The sequence below is a fragment of the Homo sapiens genome, chromosome 12 (assembly GCF_000001405.40).
Source record: "Homo sapiens chromosome 12, GRCh38.p14 Primary Assembly".
NCBI lineage: Eukaryota > Metazoa > Chordata > Mammalia > Primates > Hominidae > Homo > Homo sapiens.
The window spans coordinates 108,295,342-108,321,566 of record NC_000012.12 but is presented as its reverse complement, the minus strand read 5'-3'; the positions used below and the strand labels follow the sequence as shown (position 1 = coordinate 108,321,566).

Here is a 26,225-nt window from a genome sequence, read left to right as displayed (position 1 = left end):
GAGTCAGAGTTAGGGGGTGGTGAGTGACGCAGACGCGTGAAAGTGCAGGATGGGATCCCATCTTTATTTTGATGTTTTGCTCATCATGCAATATTTTGCGTTAATTTTTATTATTTATTTATTATTATTTTTTTGGAGACAGGGTCTCACTCTGTCACCCAGGCTGGAGTACAGTGGTATGATCGTAGCTCACTGCAGCCTTGACCTTCTGGGCTCAATTGATCTGCCCGCCTTAGCCTCCTGCATAGCTGTAAATTTGATTTTGAAAAAATGTTGCATTACATTATTATTTTTTGTATGAGTGAGGTTTTTGGCAACCCTCCTCCCTAAGTTTGCACTCAAGGCAAGTGCCTCACTTGCCTCCTCCAGTCCAAGCTGTGCTCTCAGGAGAATGGGAATCAGGGAAGGGGTTATTGAGGATATGGCCTCAGGTGAGACTAGCTTCAGTCTGATCCCACGGGGACCCCTGGAGTGAGCATTGTGCTCTGCGGCAGCCAGGGAGAGGCTGCTCCTGCTCTGCTGAGGGCAATTCTTAGGAGGAGAGGGCAGCTGTGAGCTGTTAGCATCTAATATTCCCTGCAGCTGGCAGATGGGGGACCCTGCTAGTGAAGAGGACCCAGACTAGGCACCAAAAACATCCACCACAATACCATCCTGTTGTTCTTTGAGAAGTGGCAGTAAAAATTTCACAGGTTTACAAGCACTTTTGGCTGCTGGACTGTGTTTCTTTGAATATGGCTGTGCTGGAGTTTCTGGGGTCCAGTTTCTATTCCTCTTGTAGAACGAATGAATGAGCAGGAGGGTGGGTGGAGCCAGTGTGGATGTGGGTGTGACCTGAGGACCTGGTTGGTCCTAAGCTGCTGGCTCAGTTTCCTGGAGGGTGGGAGCTGGGGAGAGGAAGGCCAAAGTGGAACAGGTGTCTGTGATTCTGCCCACGGAAGGAGACATGGAGGAGGAAGAGGCTGAGGGGAAGATGGAAGAAGGAGGGAAGGAAGGAGAAATCTTTGCTTTTGGGTAATCAGGTATATGCTATATGAAGGGCTTAGGAGGTGGACTGGCACTTTTGGCTCTTTCTAAATGTGGGGGAGAGGTATTCACAGTCTGAGGGCTGGGATGTTAATTCTGAGTCCCGGATCCCTGGAGTGGGTTGGGATTTCTGCTGGCACTCAGGAGAAAGCACCCCTTACCTGGCGCATACCTCCCAGGGCTTGGGGAGGGAAGCTCAGGGCTTCGTCCCCTAGTCATGCCACCCCTTTGGGATTTTAGAGACACTGGGGTCCATATGTTCTGGCTGAAACTCTACCTCTACTCCACACAGTGCCTGAGTTTCCACCATCACAGCTTTAAATCCCAACTCAGTTCACAACCTTCTTCTCCAGCTGTATCATGTGAAAGTGCAATGCTTTTGTGCCTCTGCAGTTACTTCAGCCTGGGGTGCCCACTGGCCAACTCCTGCTTGTCCTTCAAATTTCACTGTGTCCAGGCAGCCTTCCCTGACTTGGCAGCTGGAATGGATACTATGCCGACAGGTCCCCCAGCCCTGGGCTTACTCTGTCATGATTTACTCATCGTCTGTTGCTCTTACCTGGCTTTGGGTTTCTTGGGAGTGGGAACTATATCTTTGTATTCTATCTCCCAGCCTGACACCTGGCAGGTAATATGTGCTCAGTAAGGTTTATTGAATGTAAGAATGAGAAATGTGTAATATGTCATCAGATATTTATACCTCAGTGTGAAAGAAATTCTGAGAGGAGGTTTTTGTTTTGTTTTGTTTTTAAACCATACTCCCTTACAATCATGCCACATTTATGTGTGAGGCCAAGTCATATAATGGTAAGATTCATAATTATACTCAACAACAACAACAACAATAATAACAATGGATAATATACTGAGAACATACCATGGGCCAGGTATTATTATTCTAGCTGTTTATATTCCTTCTCTTATATCCTAATACTAACTTTATAAGGTATATATTATTTATGAGGTATGTACTTTGTGAGGCATGTATTGCTCCATTTTACAGATTGGGAAACTGAGGAAAGAATTTAAGCAACAAAGAGGTCTTACAGGTAGTAAGTGACAGAGCTGGCTCTGAACTCAGGTGGTCTGGCTTCAGAACCTGTACCCTTAACCATCACACATTGAACATGGCTTTTGGGTTGAAGTCCTAGCTCCTCCATTTTCTAGCTGTGTGATCTTGGGCAAGTTGCTTGACCTCTCTGACTTTCAGTTTACTCACCTGTGAGGTAGGGGTGGTCCTCAATGTTGTTGGGAGGCTGGGGCAAAGTAAGGGATGGAAAGGACCCTGAGGGTTGACAGGGATGGTTCTCATGGCTCAGCGAGGCAGCGGTTTCAAAGATCTCTGCTCATGGTTACAAAATGAGCCTTGGAAACCTGCATCAGCAGAGACGTCATGGCCAGGGTTCTTGGCAAAGGGCATGGAGGCCAGGAAGAGGGAGACAAAGGCTCCTTGTCAGCACCTTGGGGCCCTAGGGGAGGCAAGTTGGGAAGATGTGAGTGCTACAAAGAGGGAGATGAGGACTCTTGCCTGGAAGTGAGGCAGGCACCCTGTTGTCCACCAGGATTTGCTCTGCATAAGGCATGGGTGGAAAATTCCTTTGGATCCTTTCCTGAGTGGCTGGGAAAGCTGAGACTAATTCGTGGAGGGGAGGGGTGTCTCCACACCTTGGGAATGTGATCACTATTTTATTTTAAAACAGAATAAAAAGCAGCTTCAACTTGGCAGTTCTCAGGGCTGCTTGGGGCCACCAAAGGCACCTCCAGAACATGGCTCCTTGTGGGCTTGGGCTCTGGCTGCTATGGGATCAGGGACCACACTGGAAACCTGCCATTGGCAGGTGGCTGCTCTGTTTTCTGCAGAGACTCCCTCCTCCAGCCTGACTGGCATCTTCTCTGGGAACCCACAGAGAACAGATCTGCCCTCTGGGGTGACGAGGAGGCCTCAGGCAGAAATCTCCCTCACACTGTGGATACTGTCATATATCCACAGAATTCTCTCCTGATAGCTGATCCCCACAGTGACCCTGCAAACAATTGTCATTTCCCTTTGATAAACGTGGAAACTGAGGACAGGGAGTTGGAACAGCCAGTACAGCTAGAATAAGAACCAAGGTTCTCTGACTTCCCATGAGACAGACTTTGTACTAAAGACATGGCCCAGGTTCTATGGGGACTGAAGGTCTAAGTGGCTCTGAAGGATATTCTTGATGGATCAAAACACAGCACAGTCAGTGCAAAGGGAGTGCTTAAAGCCCATTTGCTCATTATAAAAGACCAGGGCTTGAGAACTCCAGACTCTATTAAGAATATGTGGAAAATGATACACATATGTAGTTAATTGTAACATTGTAACACACACAATGATTTATTATAACATTGTAACAGCAAGAAACCGGAAGCAACTCAAGTGCCCATCCCTGGGACTAGTTAATTAAATGCTGGCAAATCTACCAATGGAATACTATGCAGCTATCAAAAAGGATAAGATGCTTTGTACATATGAATATACTAATAAGAAATCATCACCAAGAGATATTGTTAGGCAAGAAAGGCCAGTTGCAAAATAATGTGTTTAGTATACTTCCGTTTATGCAAAATGAGAGAAATGAAATGAAAAGAGAATGTATTTCTCCAAAGAAACTCTGGAAGGAGACATGAGGAACTAACATAGGGAGGTGGGTACAGTGGAAACTGGATGGATGGTGGCAGGTAGGAGCAAGATTTTTCATTCTAATCTTTCTATAGTTTTAGATGGTTTGAACATCACCAGTTAGAAGGAGTTGTGATGCCTGGTCAGCAATTTAAATTCAAAAAGCCTATTAGAATTGTGGATGGATGGCTGTTAGGCTAACAGTGTTATTATGTGAATAGTATGTGTGTTGTAAATTCTAAGGCCCGTGGTTTTCATTCCTATTTTCTCCTTGATTGTGACATAAGCACATTTGGAGTTTTCAAACTAGCTGGATTTATTGCCCAGCTGACTACGGCTTTCCTTGATGTCAGAATGAGGCCACCTTTGGCCCACTTTGAACCAGCTGAGAGAGTCCTGTGGGGTTTACACAGAGCCCACCCCTCCCTCCAGTGTCCACATCATCCTCATGACCGTGATGCACTCCTGGTGGCCTCCTGAGGCCATGGGTAGTCAATACCTATGTCTCATAGTGGACCTGCCATTTCATTCCAAGCTCTTGGTGAAATGTTTGTAGGGAAAACAATGCGTTCTTGTGGGCTCTCCTTGACACTAATAACCATGGATGAAGAGAACCTCTAGAGCACATAATGACTGAAACCCATGCTCAATGAAGAGAACTGCTTGGGATGGCTTTCAGCTCATCTTGTGTCTGCCAGGACCTTCCCAAACACTGCCTCCAGCCCACCACCAAACAGGCTGTGTGTTAAATCACACCTTTTCCTGTTAAAATCAACCAATGACATTGAGGCTGGGTACAGTGGCTCATGCCTGTATTCCCAGCCCTTTGGAAGGCTGAGGTGGGTGGATCACTTGAGTCCAGGAGTTGGAGACCAGCTTGGCCAACATGGCGAAACCCCATCTCTACAAAATACAAAAAAAATTAGTGGGGTGTGGTGGTGTATGCCTGTAGTAGTCCTAGCTACTCAGGAGGCTGAAGTGGGAGGATCACTTGAGCCCAGGGAGGTTGAGGCTGCAGTGAGCTGTGATTGAGCTCCCACTGGCGGTTCCAACCGGTGCCTGTGGCTTTCCATCCCAAAGCAAAAGCCCCACCCATTTCTGCTATGGGGTTGACACCTTGCCCGTAGCTCCCTGATCTTTGGGGATTTTGGAAATCCCCAGCACTGCCTTTCCTGTGCTTTTAAATGTATGCAAATGCAATAGCAAATGGCCCTCACCCCAGGAGGACAGCTATTCATGGGGCCCCTCCCTGCCCACACCGGGTGGCTCCATGGGGTCTTGTTAAACCTTCTCAGAGGTTGGCAGAAGACTCCTTTTAGCCTTGTCCCTTTCTTCTTGCCTCTGGGTCTCTCTTCCTGGGGACTTTCTTCACCCTGCCTTCGTCTTTCTTCTGCCACTTTGCTGCTTTGCCCTGACCGCTCTGTCCTCCTTTTTCCAGTCCCTGTGCGTCTCTCCTCTTCCTGCTGGCTTTCCTCTCCCTGCCCCTCTTCCCCCTCTCTTTCTGTCTACGTTGAGGAGGTGTCATCCTCTGTTCTCTCTGCTCTTTCTTGGCTGTGCTGCTTCTTCCTCCCTCCTAAGATCACCTATCCCGCCGAGCCCCTGCCCTGCTGGGGCCTGAAGTGAAGAGGGCTCTTCCCTCAAATTCCCTAGAGCTGAGGGGCAGGGCCAGCATCTCAGGCTGGCGACCAGTGCAGCCACACAGGGCTCAGAAGGCCTGTGCTTTGTTTAACACTTGGCAGTTGCTGTCCTGAATTCTCAGTAATTTTTGAATAAGGGGCTGCATTTTCATTTTGCAGTGACTCCATGAAGTATGCACTGTTTCTGCTGAGGATTATGAACTTCCTGGGGGGAACACATCCCCTCCTCTTAGAGCTGTAAGAGCTGGGCTGAGGCGCAGGGTCCAAGTGCTGGTCCTGCGTCTGCTCCTCACTCACCCAACAGTAAGCAGCAAGATTCATCTTCATTTTACCAATGAGATAAATCAAGGCTCAGAGAGGCCATGTCACTTGCCCAGGGACCCACAGCTCATGAGCCCGGATTGAAGGAAGCTGACTCTGAAATTTGGACATTCTGTGGTCCTTTCCTGGCTGAAACCATAGGGGCTTTGGTAAGCCACCCTTTTATCAGTGAACTAAGGCTCAGTCTTTGCATCTGGAAAATAGAGGTAGTGAAAGTAGCCATCTGTGCAGAACCAGCTGGTGTTTAAATCCTGGAAAGTTCCTGGCACATGGCTACCTCCTGAAACAGCAGCCACAGCCTTTCTGAGCCTCCATTTTCTCATCTGTCAAATGGGGATCATGGTGGTACCTGCCTCACAGGACCCTTATGGGAATTTAATGACACAGGACGTGTGCTTAGCTTAGGGCCTGGCACAAGTAGGTGGGCAAGGCTAGTACACAGGAGCTTCTAGGCCAGAGGAGGGAGTAATCTATGAGTAGGGAAACTGTAGGATTTATTGTCCTGACTGGGGCACTTTGAGAATGAAAGGAACATGACAAGAAGCATAAACAGGGATTGTTGTGGGCAAGCCAGGATGGAGGGTCACTCTACCTGTGTATCAAGTATGTCTTTGTCATGATTGTCTGTTTCATAAAATATGTTCACAGATAGGTGAGTATAAGGATGCCCCAGGCCCACCCCCAGCTGGTGTGGAGAAAGACTGTGTTTGGGCTGGGTGCAGTGGCTCACACCTGTAATCCCAGCACTTTGGGAGGCCGAGGCAGGTGGATCACCTGAGACCAGCCTGACCAACATGGAGAAACCCCATCACTGCTAAAAATACAAAATCAGCCAGGTGTGGTGGCGCATGCCTGTAATCTCAGCTACTTGGGAGGCTGAAGCAGGAGAATCGATTGAACCTGGGAGGTGGATATTGCGGTGAGCTGAGATTGCGCCATTGCACTCCAGCCTGGGCAACAAGAGCAAAACTCCGTCTCAAAAAAAAAAAAAAAAAAAACAAGGCTGTGTTCGAGCCTGGGCCATAGAGAATGATGTCCCTCGGGCTGGGCATGATGGAACATGATGGTAAGCCCAGCACTTTGGGAAGCAAAGTGGGAGGATAGCTTGAGGCCAGAAATTCAAGACCAGCTTGGGCAATATAGCAAGACCTCATCTCCAAAAATTAAAATAATAAAATTTTAAAAAGGGAGGGGGAAAAAAGAAAGAGTAGTGTCCCACTTATCACTGCTACTGCTACCAAAGCTTCAGTTCTGAAAAAACATCAGGGAGAATGACTTAAAGGCCACGGTTCAGGCCCCTTCTCAGATATTCTAGAAAATTCTTTGGATTACACCAGCAGTGCATACACCTGGATGTGTAGACTGAAACTCACAGTCATATCTAGGAAAAGCAGCTTTTACTGAATTGCAGTTTGGGGCAGTGCTGTCCATCAGTGAGTGTTTGGAGCCTCCCTTAAAACATTCAGGAACTGGAGACCCCGTTCCGTGATCAGATCCCCCATGTCTTCTCTCCACAGGCTTCTGGAGACAGTCCTTCTGCTCCTAGCATCAGGAAGCCTTACTATTCCCCTGAGTGGGTTTGGTTTTTAGCAAGGAGCATGTGACTCATGTAACTGGGTCCCCCTTTCAGGAAGCTGGGGTTCCAGTGTATGGTCCAGCCACTGTCAGTGTCTAGGAACTTCTGTGTCCCCTGCATTTCACCCTTAGCCGTGACTCCATTTTCTGTCTCTACACATGTTTCCCTTCCTTCTTTTACTTTAATTTATGTTCCCTGTATAAGTGAGCCTCTTTTGAACCTCCCACCATCCACAGCTGCATCACGCCAATAATTAAGTGAACAAAAATAAAAAATCGACAAACCTGCAAGCAAAACCATATTGTGGCACCCCTCCCCAACCCAGGAGAGCAGCTCAGTTGGCCTGGTGGGGGTCGGCTGGCAAAGGGTTAAGAATGATGCAGAGGAAGTGCTGGCGGAGATTAAAGGGAGGAAGTGGCTGCTGCCTGGGGAGGGAGGTGGCTGGCTTGTCCTGTGTGACTCCAGGGGCCTAAACCAACACTGACACGAATGTGGCAGTTTGCTCAAGGTCAGTGTAGTGAAAAAAAGGAAGAGCTTTCCAATGACTTGACAAGTCTTTCTAGAAGTTCTACTGGTGGGGGTTTCAAACTCACTGATAGCTGACTCCAGACATAGCTCTCTTTAAACATAACAGCCAAAGGGCATGTTTGTTTGAGCCAGTCTCTTCATGTTCATAGAGTGACCAGCGGGCCCTGATTGGCTGGGACATTCCAGTTTGAGCACTTTACATTCTGCATCCCAGGACACCCCTTGGTTTCTGGCAAACCAGGACAACTGGTCACCCTATGCACCCTACGTATATGATCTCATGAAATCTTTACATTGACCCCCTTTACAGACGAGGAGTCTGTGATTTAGTAATCCAAGATTACATAGCATGGGAAGGGCCAAGCTGGGATTCACATGTGGATTTGCTGTAACTGAGTGAGGCTTAAGCTGTCAGCTGCACTGAGCCACTTCCCTTTTCCTGTAAGATGAGGGTGTGAGACCCCTTGATCCTAAAGCCTCTCTAGCAATGACTTTTAGGATTCTAGAATTTCCTCTGGTCTTCGAGCAGCTTTTTGTTTTCCATGGAAGGTGGGGTGGGGTAGGGTGGGGGGCAATTTTTCCAGCAAGACCCCTCCTAGGTCAAGGCTTGGGCTTTGCCTTGGGAGAGGTGACAGCCTGGTGACAGGGTCAAAAGGAAGGGCAGCCTGCCCCTCCTTCCCTGTGCCTGGGAACAGGGTGGGATCTCATACTCCACCGTCCTGATTGCTGGCAGTGGTGCCAGTCCATTTGTCAGCTGCTTGGGCTGGAGCCAGGGAATTCCAAGGGGCCAGAGCCTGCCTGAGCACTCCAAGGCCTCTGTGCTCGTGGCTGGCAGCCTAGGCAGGAGGACCCTGGGGCAGCTCAGGGCTCTGGGATTTTTCAAAGCTCCATGTGGCTGGACAGGCCTCTACAGACTCCCTGCCCTGGGAGTCTGGCCAGCCTGTGGAGACTGTGCAGAGGGGGGTGATTTGGAGTCTCTAAGTACCCCAAGTCAGTGAGGTAGCATTGTGAATGTGCAAGGTGCGGAAGTTGCACAGGTGGGGACAACTGATATGAGATCACAGGGCCCCGTGTGCAGCAGGCAAGCCACAGAACATAAAGGACAGTGACCGTCACTGAAGACCTGGACTCCAGAGTCAGGCAGTGCAGATTCAGATCTCTCCTCTGCCCCTTCCTACTGTGAGATCTTGGGCCAGTGCCCTTGCTTCTCTATGGCTTGATTTCCACATCTGAAAAATGGGAATGAAAATATCTACCTCGAAGGTTTGTTGTGAGTGGAGGCACTGAGTATGCCGTCTGTGCCTAATAAGCAGGGGGTGGATTCCATGAGCCCCAGACTCTCAGTTTTGGTTCCTCTCACCCCATAGCTGCACCCCAGGACCCTGTGACAGGCAGTGGGTGAGGGCTCTTCCCCATGGAGAAGCCGTGCTGGTAGGCTGTAAGGGAAGTCCTAGGGAGAGGAAGGAATGCTGCCTGGACACGTTTCACAGTCTTGTGATGAAAGGGGCCTGTCAGCCCATCCACGATGCTTGGAAATGCTGTGATAAGGGCATAGATGCTTTGAGTTCTCACAGATCTGAGTTCAAGTCCTGGTTCCACTGGGCACTGGCTGGCGATCCTGATCTGGTTCCTTTTACAGCCTCAGTTTCAACATCTGTGAAATGGAGGTAATGTCCTCAGGCCAGGGGGAAGATGGATTGTCAGGACACAAGGAGATGAGGGGGTGTCAAGCTCACAGCTAGGTGCCTGGCACGTAACAGGATGGGTCTCTTTCCTCTTGTCACCTTGCTGTTTGCTCTGCCTGGATTTGTGCACATGAGGCTGGGAGAAGCAAGGGGATGCTTGTGGAAAGCACACCCCAGGCAGAGGGACCTGCAAGAGCAGAGGCCCAGGTGCTTTGAACCATGCTCGGGGTACTGGGCTCCTTAAGCACAGGGAGCAGGTTGGTTTGGAAGGACTTGGCCTCTGAGGTCCCCCCAGCAGTCCTTCCGTGCCCCCAGCCTGGGGCTTCCCATGAGTCCTGCAGCCCTGTCCTGGGTCAGGGGTCGCTGACTTCACTTGGGTTGTCCAAGGGGAAGGGAGGCTAATGCCCATGCTCAGTGGCCCACCCTTCCTCCTGTTGCCTCTTGCCTCCACCAGCTCTCCCCCTCTATGCTGCCTTTTCCCCTTAGCGTCCTTTCCCTGGCACTTTTTTTCTTTTTAGGAGGCAAAGTCTTGCTCTGTCACCCAGGCTGGAGCGCAGTGGTGCAATCATAGCTCACTGCAGCCTCGACTTCCTGGGCTCAAGCGAGCCTCCCACCTTAGCCTCCTGAGTAGCTGGGACTAAAAGGTGTGTGTCACCACACTTGGCTAAATTTTTAAATTAAAATTTTTTCCCCTAGAGGCAGGGTCTCTCTATGATGCCCAAGCTGGTGTTGTACTCCTGGCTATAAGTGACCCTCCCGCCTCAGCCTCCCAAAGTGCTGGGATTACAGGCATGAGCCACTGTGCCCAGTCTCCCTAGCACTTTTAAGTGTTAATATCTCACACGCACACATACACACATTCATGTCAACCACTAACTGGATCTGACATAGTAGGAATGGTTTTGGCATCTGAGCCCCAGTCCTGACGCCATTTTGCTGTATAACTGTGGCCAAAAACCTCCTTTGTGTGTGGGCCTCTGCTTCTCCATCGTCATCACGACATTGACTTCAGTTCACTGGGGAAAAGTTGAAAGCAGGACCCTGATGGTGGAATTGAAGGCATAGCAGCAGTGTGTATCTGGCATCAATTTGCAGTGGGGGATGCCTTTCCAGAACCCCAGCACCAGACCCCAGAGACTGCTGACTGCTCCTTCATCTGCACCCTGCTCATCTCCTGGGCGGGGGGTGGGGGGGCGGTCTTCGAACTTACCTGCCTCACACACGTGTCCTGGGATGTGCCTCCCTGGTGAGCTGCAGGTTCTGGCTGCCCCTCAGCACTGCCTCCCTCCTGTCTCTGCCTACCCGCCTTGCTGAAAGGCCCTGGGTCCATGAGGCCCGGGGATGGGGGACTCGGTGTTACCATGGCAACCATAGCTTATCTGTGGCATCATGGACTCCGGGGGAAGATGGCTCCCAGCCCCCAGGACTGGACAGTATGGGCCCTTCTCTGTGACCTGGCTTTTCCCGTGAAGACCCATCTGAGTATCTCTGGTCCTCACTCCTCCGCTCACTCAAGACCTTTCTTGGAGCATTGGTGGTTGCCATGGAAATGGCTCTGGAAGCAAACCAGTCCCTGTGGGCTGAGGAAAAATCCTTAAGAAAAATAAAGAGATTGCTTGGCTTCCTGGCTCTCTGATGGGACATCCTGATGCCTGGAGCCTCCAAAAACTGCACTTTCTGGGTAGGCCTGGAACTGGCAGAAGGATCCTCAGTTCACCAGGCCTCTTGCTATTCTCCTGCCTCCAGCCTTTCCTCTTCCAACGCAGTGCCCACATCAGCCACCCAGGTTAGAAGCTGGAATCTTTTTAGAAGGATGATACCCTCTGCTTAAAACCATCCATGGCTCCCTATTGCCCATAGGATAAAGTTGATGGCTTGCAGGGATCTCACAATCTGAAACCCTCTTCTTTCCTTAGCCACATCTCCTGCCTTCTCCCCTCCCCTAACACACACACACACACACACACACACACACACACAGCCCCTAACCACACTTTTTCAAGCCTCTGTTCCTCTGCAGGTATGTCATTTCCCTCGGCTGCTCCACCTGGCAAAGGCTTCATACCCTCCAAGGCTCAGCTCAAATGCCACCTCCTCCAGGAAGCATCCCCTGATTTCCCCAGCCCTTTCTCTTTACTTTGTGCAGAGCCAGGGCCACACACTCAGTGACCAACAGGGCCAGGCAGGAGACCCAAATGACCCATTTATGAACATTTTTCATGTCCACAAAGACATACGTGCTCTCCTATGAAAGCTGAAAATGAGAATGACTTGGTTCCTCTTTCTCTCACTGGATTGCACTTATTTCTGCCACAGCAGAGACCCTGGACAAACTCAATGGCAAATTGCAACTGGCTTATTACCCCAGGGAACAATAGGGAGGGGTGGGGACTGTGGATAACCCCTGTTCTGTAATGCAAGCCCAGCATGGCCAGTTTGCTGGAAGCCTGGAATTTAGGTGACATCTCAGAATACTGACTGTGCCACGATCTGTTCCTGCAACCACTTTCTCTGCATGAAGGTAGTGACTGGGCCATCTTACTCCCACAGCATTTGGCAAGGAGTGTGACCCTTAGACGTTGCCCACTACTGGCTTTTTTTTTTTTTGGAGATGGAGGTCTCACCCTGTCACCCAGGTTGGAGTGTAGTGGTGCAATCATAGCTCACTGCAGCCCTAAGCTGCTGGGCTCAAGCGATCCTCCTGCCTTTGCATCTGCTGTTCCCACTGCCTACCATGCTCTTCCACAGCACCAGCCCATGTCTCCCTCTCTGTGTATTCAGGTCTCCATTCAAAGGTGGAACAGGGCATAAATGCTGGGGGAGGGGAATTCTATGTTAGGGAGAGCGTTCCAAGAAGCTTCTCTGAGAAGATGACCCTCTTTGTATTTTATTCACAGCACAAATCACTGCCTGCTATTATATTCATTGTATTTTTTCAGCATTTACATAGAGCTTCCGATGAACCAGGCATGCTTCTAAAACATTACCAACATAAACCCATTACCAACATTCAATCCTTGCAACAACTCTGTGAGGGAGGAGCAATGATCACTCCTATTTTCCAGATGAGGGAACTGAGGCACAGAGAAGTGTGATGACTTGCCCATGGTCACACAGCAGAGCTGGGATTCAAACCGAGGCAGTCTGGCTCCAGATGTGTTTGTCTTCCTTATTATGTATTTGTTTACTTGACTGTTTAGCATCTGTCACCCCCGACTACCCCTCGACTCCAAGGGCAGGGATGTGTCTGGTTTGTTCCCTGCTGCAACCCCAGTACTCAGATCCAGGCCTGGCTCATAATAGGTATTTAATGACTATTTCTTGGAAGGATGGAGGAAGGGAAACAGGAGGATTAGAGGACTGGAAGGAAGAATCTTTGGCCTTCAGAGCTGAGCCCAATATCAAGATTGTCTTGTCGGAAGCTTCTCAGCCTCCTGAGGGATTTGAGTCAGCCTGTCTGGAGGGGCCCCTGCCTTGCCCGTCCTCACCCTCTAATAGAACCTCTATTTTCTGACCTCTCCCAAGAAGAGGTGCCAAACCTCATTCCCAGCTCCCTGGACCCATGCTGAGCACACTTCCTACAGTGATGGGAGCCCTGGAGGGGAACAGTCAAGGCGAGGGCAGGAAGTCTCCAGAAGGAGGTGGCCTGCAGGGAACAGGCTGTTGAGCGGCCAGCGAGAGGTCCGGGCGGGGCTACCCTGGACCAGATGTGCTCAGGGGATGAGCAGAAGAGAGAGCTGGGAAGGGGCTTGTGTCCTGAGAAATTCTCCTGGGACCCTAAAACAGTGGACTTCACTGAGGGAGCAGTAGAAACACATTTCAGTTTCACCCTGTGAAAGAAATCCCCTTTCCCTATTAATGCAGTGGCTGTGGTGGTGACAAGCACCTCACCAGCCTTGTTTCATTGAATCCTCACAACTCCTTGAGACAGATGCTACAGATGAGGCTCCTGAGGCTCAGAGAGGTAAGTAACCTCTATGAGGTCACACAGCCAGGAAGTGCTAGAGCTAGAAGTGAAACCTACTTCCAGATGATATGTGACAGGATTCCATGGAAAACCAAGGGAGGAGAAGCTGGAAGCCCAGCCTGGAGCTCCTGATTCTACCCACGTGCTCACTCGGTCACTTCACTGAATCTGAATCTCAGTTTTCTCATCTGTGAAATGAGAATAATGGGCAACTGGCATTGTTTGTGACCTGATGAAGGGCTGGCTGTTTTTCTAGGTGTGCCACAGAGGTTATTCTCCTTCACCATCATGGTATGTTGGGTGGTCCACATGCCCCAGAAGTGGAAAAAGAGACTTGGAGGTGTGGAGAGCAGATCCAGGTCACCCAGCCAGGACCACCTCCTTGTTAGGTGTTAATGCCCTGTCCCGACTGAGGCCAGACAATAGCTTGGTTTCAGCTGAGGGACTTGAATAAAGTGAAACACGCTTTGCAGAGCCTCTTGCAGAGGATGTAGGGATGCTGGGGAGGTGGGAGGCTGAGCTGAAGCTGGGAATGGCAGAAGCCATGGCTTCCTTATCCAGCTCACCAGAGCAACAGAAAGGAAGGAGCGAGGCATGGGACTCAAACACAAGGGCTCCAGAGCGGATGAGTCTGGGTTCTCCACCTCCTTGCCCTTCTCCCCACCCGCTGGCAGATTGGGACCCTGTGGCTGGGTAAGTTTCTTGAGTTGCCACTTTTCAGGTATCTCAGGGTGCCAGAGAAGAGAAGCAAGGGCAGAGGGTGAGCTGTGCTGACCTGGTTGTAAGAGAAGAGTGACTTCTCAGGGGGCGCTTCTGGAGGCATGTGGGGCCTCCGCTGCCTCCCAGAGTCGAGATTCCAAGCCCACACCCAGAACAGCACACCAAGTGCGTGCCACAGGCTGGCTCCCAGCATGGGCAGAAGTCACTCACCCCAGCTGCCTTCTTGACCACATCCTGAGCAAGCTGTAAGCATCCCCAGCACCAGCCACCCTTTGGCTACAATGTGTTCATAGCTTGGGGATTATTTGCAAGAGTGGACCCAAGGCTGACGTCAGGGGATTAACTAAATATGGTGCTGGACCTCCCAGTCCAGTGGGATATGCGCAGGGGAGAAAATTTGTTTACAGGCCAGCTCCAGGGGCTGGGGCGGTGTTTATGGGGAGAGGCACAAGCTGGATGGCTGGGAAGATACTTAGGGCTTGTGTACGGGACCCATTATTGGGGGCTACAGGGGCTTCCTGGCCTGGAAGGACAGATGTCCATCAAATGCTCTTGCTGGGGACCTTCTGTGACTAGGAATGGCTGCTGGGGAGATGGTTACAAGGGCAGCTAGGTGTCCAATAAAGTAATGAGGCTGAGTTTGCAAGGGCGTGTTCTCATGGAACTTGGTTCCGTCTGGGTCTGGGCTCGAGCCTCAGCTCAGTCCTCAGGTAGGCAGGGTCTAGATTGCTCAGGCCATAGTAAGGCATTGGTCTTGATTCTAAGAACAAGGAGGTGCTAAGAGGTTTTCAGCAAGGAGTGACATGATGTGGTTTGCTTCTTGAAAAGATTTGTCTACTAGGAATAAAATGGTCTGTGTACTAGGTAGATAGGTTTCTAACCAGTTAGGAGCCCCTGGTAGCCACATAGGTAAGCAGAGGTGATGCTCACAGCTGTGAGTTGTTGGGAGGACAAAATGGGAAGAACTTGTTGATAGATGTGTGGGTAGGGAGGGAGGGGAAAGTGTGGAGAGTCTGGTTTCTGAGTCAGAGTGTTGGCAGGAGATGGACAACCCACTCAAATGAGGTGATTAACGAGAACTTAGTCAGGGGAGGACTGACAAAAGGGTAGACAGTACAAGGGATCCCTACCACGCTCCGGGTCCAGTGAAGGCGAGAACTCACTGTTCCTAGACTGAGGGGCTAGAGCAGGAAGTAGTTAAGGCACCCAAGGAGTGTGGCTGTGGCCAACCCGCACACCTCTGACAAGGAGGGAGCTGGAGGGTTTGTACCCAACCGCACGCTCCACGCCTGCAGTTGTGGATCAAACCAGAGGTCAGAGGGCAAACAGCCTATTGAGATTTTCAAGCAGGTCAGCCTGTAGGGCACAGAACAGACAGGGATCTGGAGACAGAGATCCCCGGAGAGGAAGGAAACGCTTTTAAGGCTCAAGGAGTAGTGTTCTAATGGGAGGATGCCAGGCAGTGGCGTGAATATTTTGGGTGGGGGGGTCTCCCTGAGTCGGTGAGCTCATCAGCTGCTTTTCCTGGCCTCTAAGCAGGTGGGCTGTCTGGGTTCAGGGGCATAAGCTCCTTGTTTTTGCCCATTCTTATGGAGTCCTAAGCTCCGTCGTGGCCCCTTCCAAACCCGAAAGAAAATGGGACAGTCTGTTAGGCAGCCCGTGCCGCTCTGCTCTGCTGCAGTGACTCAGTGCGAGCTCCCACATGTGGGCGTGGGACCAGGGAGGAAATTCTCTCCTGACACGGAGCTAATTCTGTCCTGGGGCTGGCAGCCAGGCCTGTGGCTGGAACATCTGCAGACACTGTGTGGTTTCCAGGTTCCCGAGTCTGTCAGAGCCTGGGGATACAGGGATCTGGAGGTGTCTCTGGAGCCATCCTTGGGAGATGAGAGGCCCCTTCTCTCTGCCCTGGAGGGTAGGAGATCTGGTGAATGGACTGGCCCAGAAGGCAGCAGGCAAAGACATCAGCACCTACAGTCGTCCAGGCCAGGGGGAGGCTGGTATGCTGCTCAGGAGAGACATTTTTGAGGGCAAGAGTGGTGACTGGCCCGCCTCATTACATTTCAGCTGCTGGTTGAGGCTGTGATCTTGTGCTTTGGGGTCAAAAAGTCCTTGGTTCAAATCCCGAGCTGATGCTTAAAGGCTGTGTGAATCTGGACTAGTCACTTCACCTCTCTGAGTCCCTATTTGCAAATCTATGGAACGGTCTATGTGGATCACACTGAGGCAGAAGTTATGGAAGTCCCAGGCACAGTTCTAGGCTCTGGGGATACACCATAAACAAGAGAGACCAAGTCCCTCTTTTCTATGATTTAGAGAGGGTCATGCACTCTCTGGGCCTTAGTTTCCCCTGCTACAAGAGATGGTCCTCCGAGGGGCCTCCCAGCTCCTTTTGGAGGCTGACAGAATTGGAGGAGAGGTGTCTGAGCCATCTGGCTGGACTGTCAGGGTGGGTCATGTGGGGAGAAGATGGGGACAGGAGCCAGGCCAAACATGGTCATTTGCAGAGCGAGGAATGTTTCCAGTTTCCCTGATGGGCTCTTACGCCCACAGGCCCTGATAAAGCCCCTGCATTTGGCCTGTGGCCTGCTTTCAGGAAGAGGTTAGTGGTAGCCTGCGATGAAAGAGACAGCAGATTGACAGAGTGGCTGCTGGAAGCTTGGGCTGGCTAGGCGCACAGGTGAGGAATGTTGCAGGTGAGGGGCAGCCGAGCCTGTCAGAGGGGGAGGGCTGACCCGTGACCGGTGTGCAGGAGGTGGAGAAAACATGGGAAGAGAGAGGAGGAGGTGGAGACTGAGAAGACAGGGAGACTGCAGAGAGATGGAAGAGACGGAGAGGGCCAGGAACAAAGAGAGGCAAACACAGAGACTGGGGGAGAGAGAGAGGCAGAAAGAACAAGTCAGATATGAGACAGAGGAGAGTAAGAACAGGACAGAGGTGGAAGCAGGGAAAGAGACAAAGGACAGAGAGACCAGGGCAGAAAAGGAGCCAGTGCTTTGCGATGTAAAGAACCCATTGGGCAAAGGGGTTTAATCAAGGAAGCAGAAGGTAAATATCTGCTGCCCAGATGGTCCCCGGCCCTGCTGTACACTGAGCCCATAGGACACACACCGGCAGGGGAACAGCCAGAGGAGGTGAGGCCCTGGATCCATATGAACTTGGGTTTTGAATCCCAGTCCTGGTAATGGCAAGGAGAACTCACTGTCTCTAGGCTGAGGGGCAAGAGGGAGCAGTGGTTCTTGGTGCCTGGAGAGTATAGCTGTGGCCAAGTCGACCCATGGAGACCCTACAGGGAAGGAGCTGGAGGGTAAACACCCAACCTTGCTGTCCTCCAGCCCTGCAATCCCTGCTTAACACTGTCATCGATCAACCAACCAGGCAGGTGTGAGGCAAGCTACTTGCTCCCCTGCCTCAGCTTCAGACATCCCCGTTGGTAAAGTGGGACTGATACCAGTGACCTTGCAGGGTTAGGGGGAGGCTGCAGAGAGAAAAGGTGTGCTCTCACCCACGGTGTGCTGCATCCCAGCAGCCACACCAGCTCTGGGGCGCAGAAGGCTCCACATGTCCTTGGAGGATGGATGAATAAATGAATGATCCCCGCCTCCAAAGGCTTCTCCTGTAACCGAGATTGGAGGCATTTCACATTCAGGCTATTAACCAGAGGCAGAGGGACCTGGGGGAGAAAATTGCAGGGGACCCGGAGCCCTGCCTTGCTCCGTCTGTAAAATGCACACCCTGAATCTTGCCAGATTGATTTTCTGGGGGCCCTTGGGAGGTTCCACTGGGGCAAAAGCCAGAGTTTTGTGGAATGTTCCAAGGAGGCGAAGCAGTGGACAGAGAGTGAGCTTGTCAATTCAGCAGGGTTTGGGCTTGAAGCCTGTCTCTGAGCATTCCTTCAGAATGGCTAATTGGACCTACCTTACTTACCTGAGCTCTCTGTGTGACCTTGGGCACGTTAGTTACCTTCTCTGTGCCTGTTTTCTCATTAGTAGCAGTGCTTACAACAGTGGCTGGACTGTAGTGAGGACTGTACGTGTATTTGTTTAATAAAACTTAAGCCAATAATGTCCATTGGAGGCTTTTGTTCTGCATGGCAGGAGAAGCCAGATGTGACCTTGAGGCCCTGTCCCTTTCCCAGCAAGGGTCCGGCAGCGGGGGTGTGGGCAGGACACAACTGTCTGCCTGGTGACCATCCCACCCCCAGCAGGGGCTGGGCTCGACGAGGAAGGACTAGGGCCCAGGACTCTTTGCACAGCCTCTCCTGGCTGGGCTGACGTTGTTACTTCCTTTGGCCGGTCCAAGTTCATTCCCGCCTAACGGGGAAAACGGGTGGAGCTCTGAGGGCTGCATGTTTGGCCCCCTGCCTGGCCACTGTGGCTCGGTCAGGGATTCAGTAACCAAGACTCTGAGCTGGGCACCACCCAAGCATGAGCCCCAGGCAGGGATCGGAGTGTTTGTTTGTTTGTTTTGGGGTTTCCTGGACCTCAGGAGAGGAGGGAGGGTTGACATAATTATACCCCTCCATCCCTCCACTTCTCCATCAGGGGCCCCCAGAAGTCCCTGCGCTTGTATTTTCTTTCTTCACTGTGCTCATTTCCCAGTAGCCCTATTTCCCAGTCCCGTGACCCCTCCCACCCTCTCTCCCATGGAGCCATTCTAATGTGTTCAATGTGCGTCTGGCTATTTGGCTGGATTCTTGCAAAACGTGTGTTGCCGCTTTGCAGACATGTTCTCAATGTACCACAGCACTATTAGGGTCCTGATAGCCAGCACCTGTGTGGCTCTTTGTTGAACTGACCTGAGGCTGGGAGTGGCTGGGAATGCACACTCCAGGACAGGGCGGAGGCATGCAAATACTCCTGGAATGTGACCTGCACTGTTCCCAGGGTCCTTGATGGGTGTGAGCCAAGGCCACCCTCTGTAGGACGCTGTGGGATGCTGCACCCCTGCCTGGCCTCCTCCCACTTCCTCACTCCCTCACCAGTTTTTCCTGAAATGCTTCCTTAATAAATCACTTTTGCCAGAATCGTCAGTTGAGGATTTGCTTCTGGGGAAAGAAGACATATCCAAAAACGATGCACATGGACACCTCCCTGTGTGTTTCCTTGCAGGGAGGTGGGGCACTGCCTGGATATTCACTCAGGAGCCATCACAGAGGGTTCGCAGATACCTGCAGCATGGCATGAGGTGCCTGTGCTCCCACCCGGCCAACCTGGGAAGCGTCCAGCTTTCTAGTTCTTGCCACAGTCTAGAAGGTGTAGAATGTCATCTGGTTGTGGTTTTCATGTGCATTTCTTTGATCTTCAATTTGTCATATGCCTGGGTTTGGGGGTTTCCCTCCTGTCAATTGCCTGTTCCTATCATTTGCCCATTGTCCTGTCAGGGTCGCTGTTTTTTGGATTTGCAGGAAGGGGCTCCTTGAGTACGCTAGATAGCAATCCTTTTTGGGTTTGGAGATTGTAAATATCTTCCTCCGTTGGAGGCAGGAAGTGTGTGTGTGTGCATTCTGATGTGTGTGTCTGTGTGAGCACACATGCCTGTGTGTGTATGTGTGTGTAGCCCATTATAATGGTGGGATCTGGGCTCCCACATGAGCTAAGCTTCAGGGCAGAGAGGTGGAGGCTGGATTCCCAAACACAAGATGAGCAATTGAGTGGAGCCACAAATAGCAACACTAATAACAATAACACAACAACGACATGGGCATTAAGCTCTGTATGTTTCCAAAGCCTCAGTCTCCTCGTCTGTAAAATGGGGGAAGGATACACCCCCTTTGCAAGGTTGTTTTGGAAAAAGTCTGTGACGACATTTCTAATGGGCTTGGCTCCTGCCACATAGTAGGTGCTTAATAAATTATGATGTCAGCAATAGTAAAGCATGTGCTTATTATGTGCCTACTATGTGCCAGGCACTGAGCTGGGGGCTGGTGGAGGATGAACACATGTTACATAGTAGGGCTTTTTTGTGTGGGTGGCCTGGGTGGCATTTTCAGGTAAGACATGGTCTGCAGCAGAGGGAGAGGCCTGGGGAACTAGACAGAGTGAGAATCAGAACCAGGTACTGATAGAAAACTTGGGTGGACGCGGCCGAGCACGGTGGCTCATACCTGTTATCTCAGCACTTTGGGAGCCCAAAGTGGGTGGATCTATAAGGTCAGGAGATTGAGACCATCCTGGCTAACATGGTGAAACTCCATCTCTACTAAAAATACAAAAAGTTAGCTGGGCGTGGTGGGATGTGCCTGTAGTCCCAGCTACTCGGGAGGCTGAGGCAGGAGAATCACTTGAACCCGAGAGGCAGAGGCTGCAGTAAGCTGAGATCGCACCACTGCACTCCAGCCTGGCAACAGAGTGAGACTTCGTCTCAAAAAAAAAAAAAAAAAAAAAAAGACTTGGGTGGATGCTGATTGTGGTCAGAACCACCACTGACAACAACAATAGCAACATTGACTTTCTGCTCTACAGTGATGGAACGTGCTTTGTAGGGCTTTTTTCACCCCCTGAGCCTCTGTGTCCCTCCCTGTCTGAAAATGCGTATAATTGTGTCCCGACCCTGTAGGGTGATCATGAGGATTGGGCGAGATGGGATAAACTCCTTGGCTCATTGTCCAGCACAAAGGAAGTACTTTATTAATGATTAATGGTGAACTTTCTTATGCTAGGCAGTGCTGCAAATGCTTCACCAATGCCACTTATTCAATTCTCACAACAGCCCTAGGAGGTGGGTCCTTGGATTATCCCCATTGCACCAATATTGAAATGGAGGCTGTAGAGAGGGCTAAGTAATGTGCCCAGGGTCGCACAGCTCACAGGTCATGGAGCAATAGTCCAGCCCTGATGGATGGGAAGCAATATCCTGGGCCCTTAATCCCTTTGTTGTGTTGTTCTATGTTCTATGGCATCAACAATGTCACTGTTATTATTTCTAATATCCAGACAGATCCAGTGAGACAGAAAAACAAGCATTCATTCATTCATTCATTCATTCATTCATCAAACAATATTCTGGGTAATGCACTAGAGTTACGTAAGATATTACTATTGGGGAAATTAGGTGATAGGTACATGGAACTTCTCTGTACTACTTTTGCAATTGCTTGTGAGTCTGTAATTATTTCAAAATAGAGTTATAAAAGGAGTAAGGCAGAAGTGACCCCAATGTGATTTCTAAGCACTAACCCCCAAGGTTAGCTTGTAAAAGGCCGTGTTCCCTGGCGCACCTGCTCCTGGAGCCCAGGGCTGCCAGGCAACAAGCCCACTCTCCTGAAGCTGCCATGCTGTGAGTAAGCTCAAGCCACATGGCGCCCTGGTCCATAGTGTAAGAGAAACAAAACGAAACCGAACAAAGCCCAATATCCAGAGGACCTGTCTGGTGCCTGGATTCTGCTCCAGTCTGAGGAAATGGAGCTGAATAAGACCCAATTCTTGTCCTCAGATAACTTGTTATCTAATCAGATGCATATGCCAGCAATAATCACATAAATGCCATGTGCCCCACATGGGTGAGCAGGACGCTGTAGGAGCCAGAATGGGGAGTGTATTTGTTTTCCAGCGCTGCCATAACAAACTGTCACAAACTGAGTGGCTTAAAACAACAGGAATTTATTCTCTCATGGTTCTGGAGGCCAGAACTCTGAAATCAAGGGTCGTGCTCCCTCTGAAGGCTCCAGGGGAGGATACTTCCTTGCCTCTGCCAGCTTCTGGTGGCTCCAGATGTTCTTTGGCTTGGGGCAGCATCCCTCCTATCTCTGCCTCCATCCCCACATGGCCTTCTGTTCTGTGTCCATGTGAAATCTTCCCCCTGCTTTTCCTCTTATACGGTGACTGCAATCTGGGGCCTACTCTAATCCCGGATGATCTCATCATGAGATCCTTACCTTAATCTCAGCTGCAAAGACCCTTTTCCCAAACAAAGTAACACTGACAGGTTCTAGTGGATGCACCATTTGGGGGCAGGGGGTGGAATGCAGAGGGCATCCTTCCACTTACTACAGGAAGGAGAGGGGATGCTTCCTAGAAAGGATGCCTGAACCTGGTTGCTAGGGATGAGGTTGACTTAGGGAAGGAATTTAAAAGGGAGTAGAAACTCCTACACTGAAAAAAAAGTGATTTTGATTTTTAGAGACTGCCACCTAGCAAATGTGTTGGTCAAGAGAAGTTTCAGTTGTTCCAGTTCATGCCTCTCCCACAAAGCACAGCTCTCAGACCTCTGGGGCCTTGACCTTCTGGGTCTTTCTCTGACATTCTTGCCAAGACTGATGAGCTGGGAGGAGCACCTGGTGCAGGCATATGCAGGGCATCCCAGAGCCCAAAGTGTTCTCCAGACCGTCTGCTGCCCAGTCCTGACTCCAAACACAAATTCCTGTCACTTTAGCTATTCTAGTCCTGCACAGCATGCGGGGTGGGTATTGTTATCATCCTCATTTTGCAGATTGCACATCTGAGGCCCTGACAGGAGAAGCAGCTTGTTCAGGTGACACAGCAGGTCTCCTGCCGCCCACACGTGGACCTTGTGCTGCCATCTCCTCCCTGGCATTCCCTTCTGGAGCCCTCCTGGGACCGTCCCAGGGAATGGACCAGTATGACTGGCTTAGGGAGTTCTGACTCAGGGGGATAAGAGCGGAGTGGCTTTTGCCCTGGGGCCAAATCCAGTGTGAGTTCAGGGTCTCAGGCAGAATCTTGGTGCTGGGCCTGGAGAATGGGCTTCCCCTGGGTTCTCTGGGCAGCTGAGGGTGGAAAGGGAGGCAGACAGGTGTCAGGCCGGCCTGCCTCTATGGGCTGTGATGAATGATGTGGTCTCTGGTGAGTAACCCCCGTGTGTGTGTCCCAGACCTCAGCTAGATTGTCCTGAAAACTGGGAGGGTAAATTCCCTGAGGGGCTAGGAAAAGTGGAGCAACAAGGAGGGTGTCCCTGTAGGGTGGAGCTGGACGGCCTGGTGTATCAGGAAAGGTGTGAACAGACATCGGTAAATGTGTTCTCCTTTCCAGTAAGCAGTGTGGTGAAGAGCAAGACTCATAGTCAGAGCAAACCCAGATGTGGATCTGTCACTGGCTGAACTCTGTGACATTAGCATCACTTCCTCCCTTTACAATGGGAGTGATAGCAGTACCACTCCTGGAGGTTGTTGGAGATGCATGAGCTGATGCAATGAAAGTGCTTGATACAGTGTTTGGACTCTTATGTGCACCCAATCAATTATTAGTTATTACAAGGAAGTAAAACCAATATAAAGTATAATTCGATGTAGACATAAGGACCAAGCAAAACCAGTGCAGAAACCTGCAGACTAGAGGTTTTTGTGCCTTTGACCAACAAACATGACTCTGAGCTTCCTTGTGGTCACATCAAAAAGGGAAATGTGATCAGTTGTAGAACATGGATGATCAAGAACGAGAAAGCAACCCAGTTCCTCAAGAGAAGCAACATTGTTCCTTACCCTGAATCCTCCAGAGTATTTCTCACTGAGCACAGAGCTTCATAAAGGGTATCCCAAGGGAGTCAGGGAGCAACATCATTGACTAGGAATTACATAGCATTGCAGGTGTGATTTTCATGTGGTAACTGACTGCAGAGGCCTTGAGGAGGAGATGAAGGGAAATCTATGAAGGTGGCTCAGAGAAGGCAGCTCTGTGGCAGGACCAGGAATGTGACAAAGGTTTGGGCTATCAGGATTGAAGGTTGAGGCTTACGGAGGTCAGAGTGGTTGGGATGAGAGCTGATAATCCCTCAGGGAAACAGGAGGAACCCAACAGCCTTTTCACTTGGGATCCTTGGAAGTCAGATTCTGGAGTCAGAGCTCCCTGCTGTGTGGCCTCAGGCAAGTGTATCCACCTCTCTGAACCTCAGTTTTCTCATCTGCAAATAGGAGTTATTTTTACAGGGCTATTATGGAGTCTTGCAAAGCACATACAGTGAGAGATCAAGCAAACGTTAACTATATGTATGTACATATTATGTACACTGGACCCTTGAACAAGTCAGGGGTTAGGGGAGCCAACTCACTGTACAGTCAAAAATCCACATATAACTTTTGACTCCCCCAAAATTTAACTACTGACAGCCTCCTGTTGACCAGAAGTCTTGTTAATAACATATGCAGCCAATTGACACGTATTTTTTTATGTTATATGTATTATATTCTGTACTCATACAATCAAGTAAGCTAGAGAAAAAGAAAATGTTATTAAGAAAATCATAAGGAAGAGAGAATATATTTACTATTTATTAAGTGGAAGTGGGTCACCACAAAGGTCTTCATCCTCATTGTTTTCATGTTGAGTAGGCTGAGGAACAGGAAGAGGAGGGGTTGGTTTTGCTGTCTCAGGGGTGGCAGAGGCAGAAGAAAATTCACAAATAAGTGGACCCACGCAGTTAAAACCTGTATTGTTCAAGGGTCAGCGGTATATATAGTGACGCATATTTTTTTCATAAGCTTCCTGGTTGTGGAGGATTTAAGGAATTTGGGTAACTAGAATTTTACAGCTCTTTATAATTCACAATTGGCAAAGGCTTCATTGTCATTTCACATGATTCTCCCAACAACACGAGGAAGGTGTTCTTACCCCCACTTGAGAGGAGAGGACATTGGAGCTTAGAGAAGCAAAATCCTTACCTGTGTCCCTCTTTTTTTTTTTTTGAAGACAGTCTCACCCTGTGGTCCAGGCTGGAGTGCAATGGCCTGATCTTGGCTCACTGCAACCTCCGCTCCTGGGTTCAAGCAATTCCCCTGCCTCAGCCTCCTGAGTAGCTGGGATTACAGGCACGTGTTGCCATGCCTGGCTAATTTTTGTATTTTTAGTAGAGACCGGGTTTCACCATGTTGCCCAGGCTGGTCTCAAACTCCTGGCCTCAAGTAATCCTCCCACCTCAGCCACCTGAAGTGCTGGGATTACAGGCATGAGCCACCGTGCCTGGCCTCTGTGTCCCTTTCTGACCTGCCCTTGATCCCACAGCTGGAGAGACAAGTGGCCAGGAACTCACTGGTCCTCTGGCTTCCTAGCCTCATCCCACCTTCCCAGGCAAAGACCATTTTAGAAGGGAGTTAAGAGTGGAAGCCTGAGAAATAATAACAATGCCAATAACAACAATATAGTGCTTACCCCATAAGGGGACCTGTTCCAAGCACTTAATCCTCACAACCATCTTCTTATGAGGCAGGAGCTATTATTATCAAGCCCATTTTACAGATAAGACAACTGAGTTGCAAAGAAGGTAACTGACTTGCCCAAGGTCACAGGGGAGTTCCTGCAGATCCAGGATGTGGATGCAGGCAGTCTGGCTGGGCCCAAGAGTCTGCTCTTCCGCTTGGTTTGGTAGCAGAAATGTGCTCAGGACAGGAGGGATGTGTGTTAGGACAGAGCAGAGGCTCAAAGCAAACCTGTGACTTGTGCCTCCCTTACGCTTCCAGAGAGAGAGGCGTCTTGGGGTGGGGGCGATGCACCAACAGGGGACACGAATCCACTCAATTCCTGGAAGGATGAGGAGTTAGGGGTGGAAGGAGGGACATGCCCAGAGGATGTCAGCATCATTCTGTGCCAGCCCAGCCTGGCCCCAGCTCTAAGATGAAAAAACATGGCCTCTGACCCCAAGCTGCTCCCAGCCCAGCCAGAGAGCCCGACATGATGTCATCTGCTTCAGGCTGCATCTCTGCAGATGCTGTGCGAAGCACTCAGTCCTGAGTCCCAGATCCTCCTCGACCTCCTCTCGGGACTCACACACCCAGCCCACTGTCAATGAGGGAGGGGAAGGTCAGAGATGGGGAGATGCCCGGCGTGCCCTTCCTCCTTTCTCTGCCTTCCACCTTCTTAACTCATACTTGTCCTTAAAACTCAACTCAGATGCCATTGGCCCCAGGAAGCTTCAGACTCCCAGGCTGGGTAACAGCCCCTCCTCTGGGCTTCTTGGGGCATTCTAGTCTTGCCCCAGCCTCAACACTGTCTCTTTGTCTCATACCTGTGAGCTCCTTTTGGGAAGGGACCCTAGTAAGGCCATGTCCTCATCCCTGGTGCCTGCACCGTTTGGCACAGGGAATGTCAACTTGGTCATTTCTTCCAAAAGGAAGGTTGGTGATGGTCATCAATCTGAGCAGATCATGGTCTCAGGGGCAGTGTGGAGTGAC

The 26,225-nt window shown here is 50.4% G+C and overlaps 1 protein-coding gene across 5 annotated transcripts in view, besides 6 other annotated features; it reads left to right on the top strand.

Annotated features, from left to right (window-relative positions):
* CMKLR1 (chemerin chemokine-like receptor 1) overlaps positions 1 to 26,225 on the top strand; it is a 51,266-nt gene that overhangs the window by 17,745 nt on the left and 7,296 nt on the right. The window contains exon 1 of one of the 5 annotated variants that reach the window (NM_001142345.2): positions 925 to 1,022. The exons of 3 other annotated variants lie outside the window; for them this stretch is intronic. The gene's annotated coding sequence lies outside the window, so the exon portion shown is untranslated. Of the gene's footprint in view, positions 1 to 924; positions 1,023 to 16,695; positions 16,788 to 26,225 lie in introns of those variants that run through there. One more of the 5 variants, XM_047428313.1, reaches the window with a different exon arrangement.
* Positions 4,507 to 5,025: an enhancer, noted in NCBI's record as "NANOG-H3K27ac-H3K4me1 hESC enhancer chr12:108710319-108710837 (GRCh37/hg19 assembly coordinates)". NCBI's record gives its function as "activates a minimal SCP1, AML or CMV promoter by ChIP-STARR-seq in primed H9 embryonic stem cells {active_cell/tissue: H9 hESC(primed)}" and the evidence as "EXISTENCE:reporter gene assay evidence [ECO:0000049][PMID:30033119]".
* Positions 4,507 to 5,035: a biological region, named in NCBI's record as "Sharpr-MPRA regulatory region 632".
* Positions 4,741 to 5,035: a silencer, noted in NCBI's record as "tiled region #632; K562 Repressive non-DNase unmatched - State 13:Ctcf". NCBI's record gives its function as "represses a minimal TATA promoter and a strong SV40 promoter by Sharpr-MPRA in K562 cells {active_cell/tissue: K562}" and the evidence as "EXISTENCE:reporter gene assay evidence [ECO:0000049][PMID:27701403]".
* Positions 5,141 to 5,435: a silencer, noted in NCBI's record as "tiled region #8395; K562 Repressive non-DNase unmatched - State 23:Low". NCBI's record gives its function as "represses a minimal TATA promoter and a strong SV40 promoter by Sharpr-MPRA in K562 cells {active_cell/tissue: K562}" and the evidence as "EXISTENCE:reporter gene assay evidence [ECO:0000049][PMID:27701403]".
* Positions 15,380 to 15,901: an enhancer, noted in NCBI's record as "H3K27ac-H3K4me1 hESC enhancer chr12:108699443-108699964 (GRCh37/hg19 assembly coordinates)". NCBI's record gives its function as "activates a minimal SCP1, AML or CMV promoter by ChIP-STARR-seq in naive H9 embryonic stem cells {active_cell/tissue: H9 hESC(naive)}" and the evidence as "EXISTENCE:reporter gene assay evidence [ECO:0000049][PMID:30033119]".
* Positions 17,472 to 17,993: an enhancer, noted in NCBI's record as "H3K27ac-H3K4me1 hESC enhancer chr12:108697351-108697872 (GRCh37/hg19 assembly coordinates)". NCBI's record gives its function as "activates a minimal SCP1, AML or CMV promoter by ChIP-STARR-seq in primed H9 embryonic stem cells {active_cell/tissue: H9 hESC(primed)}" and the evidence as "EXISTENCE:reporter gene assay evidence [ECO:0000049][PMID:30033119]".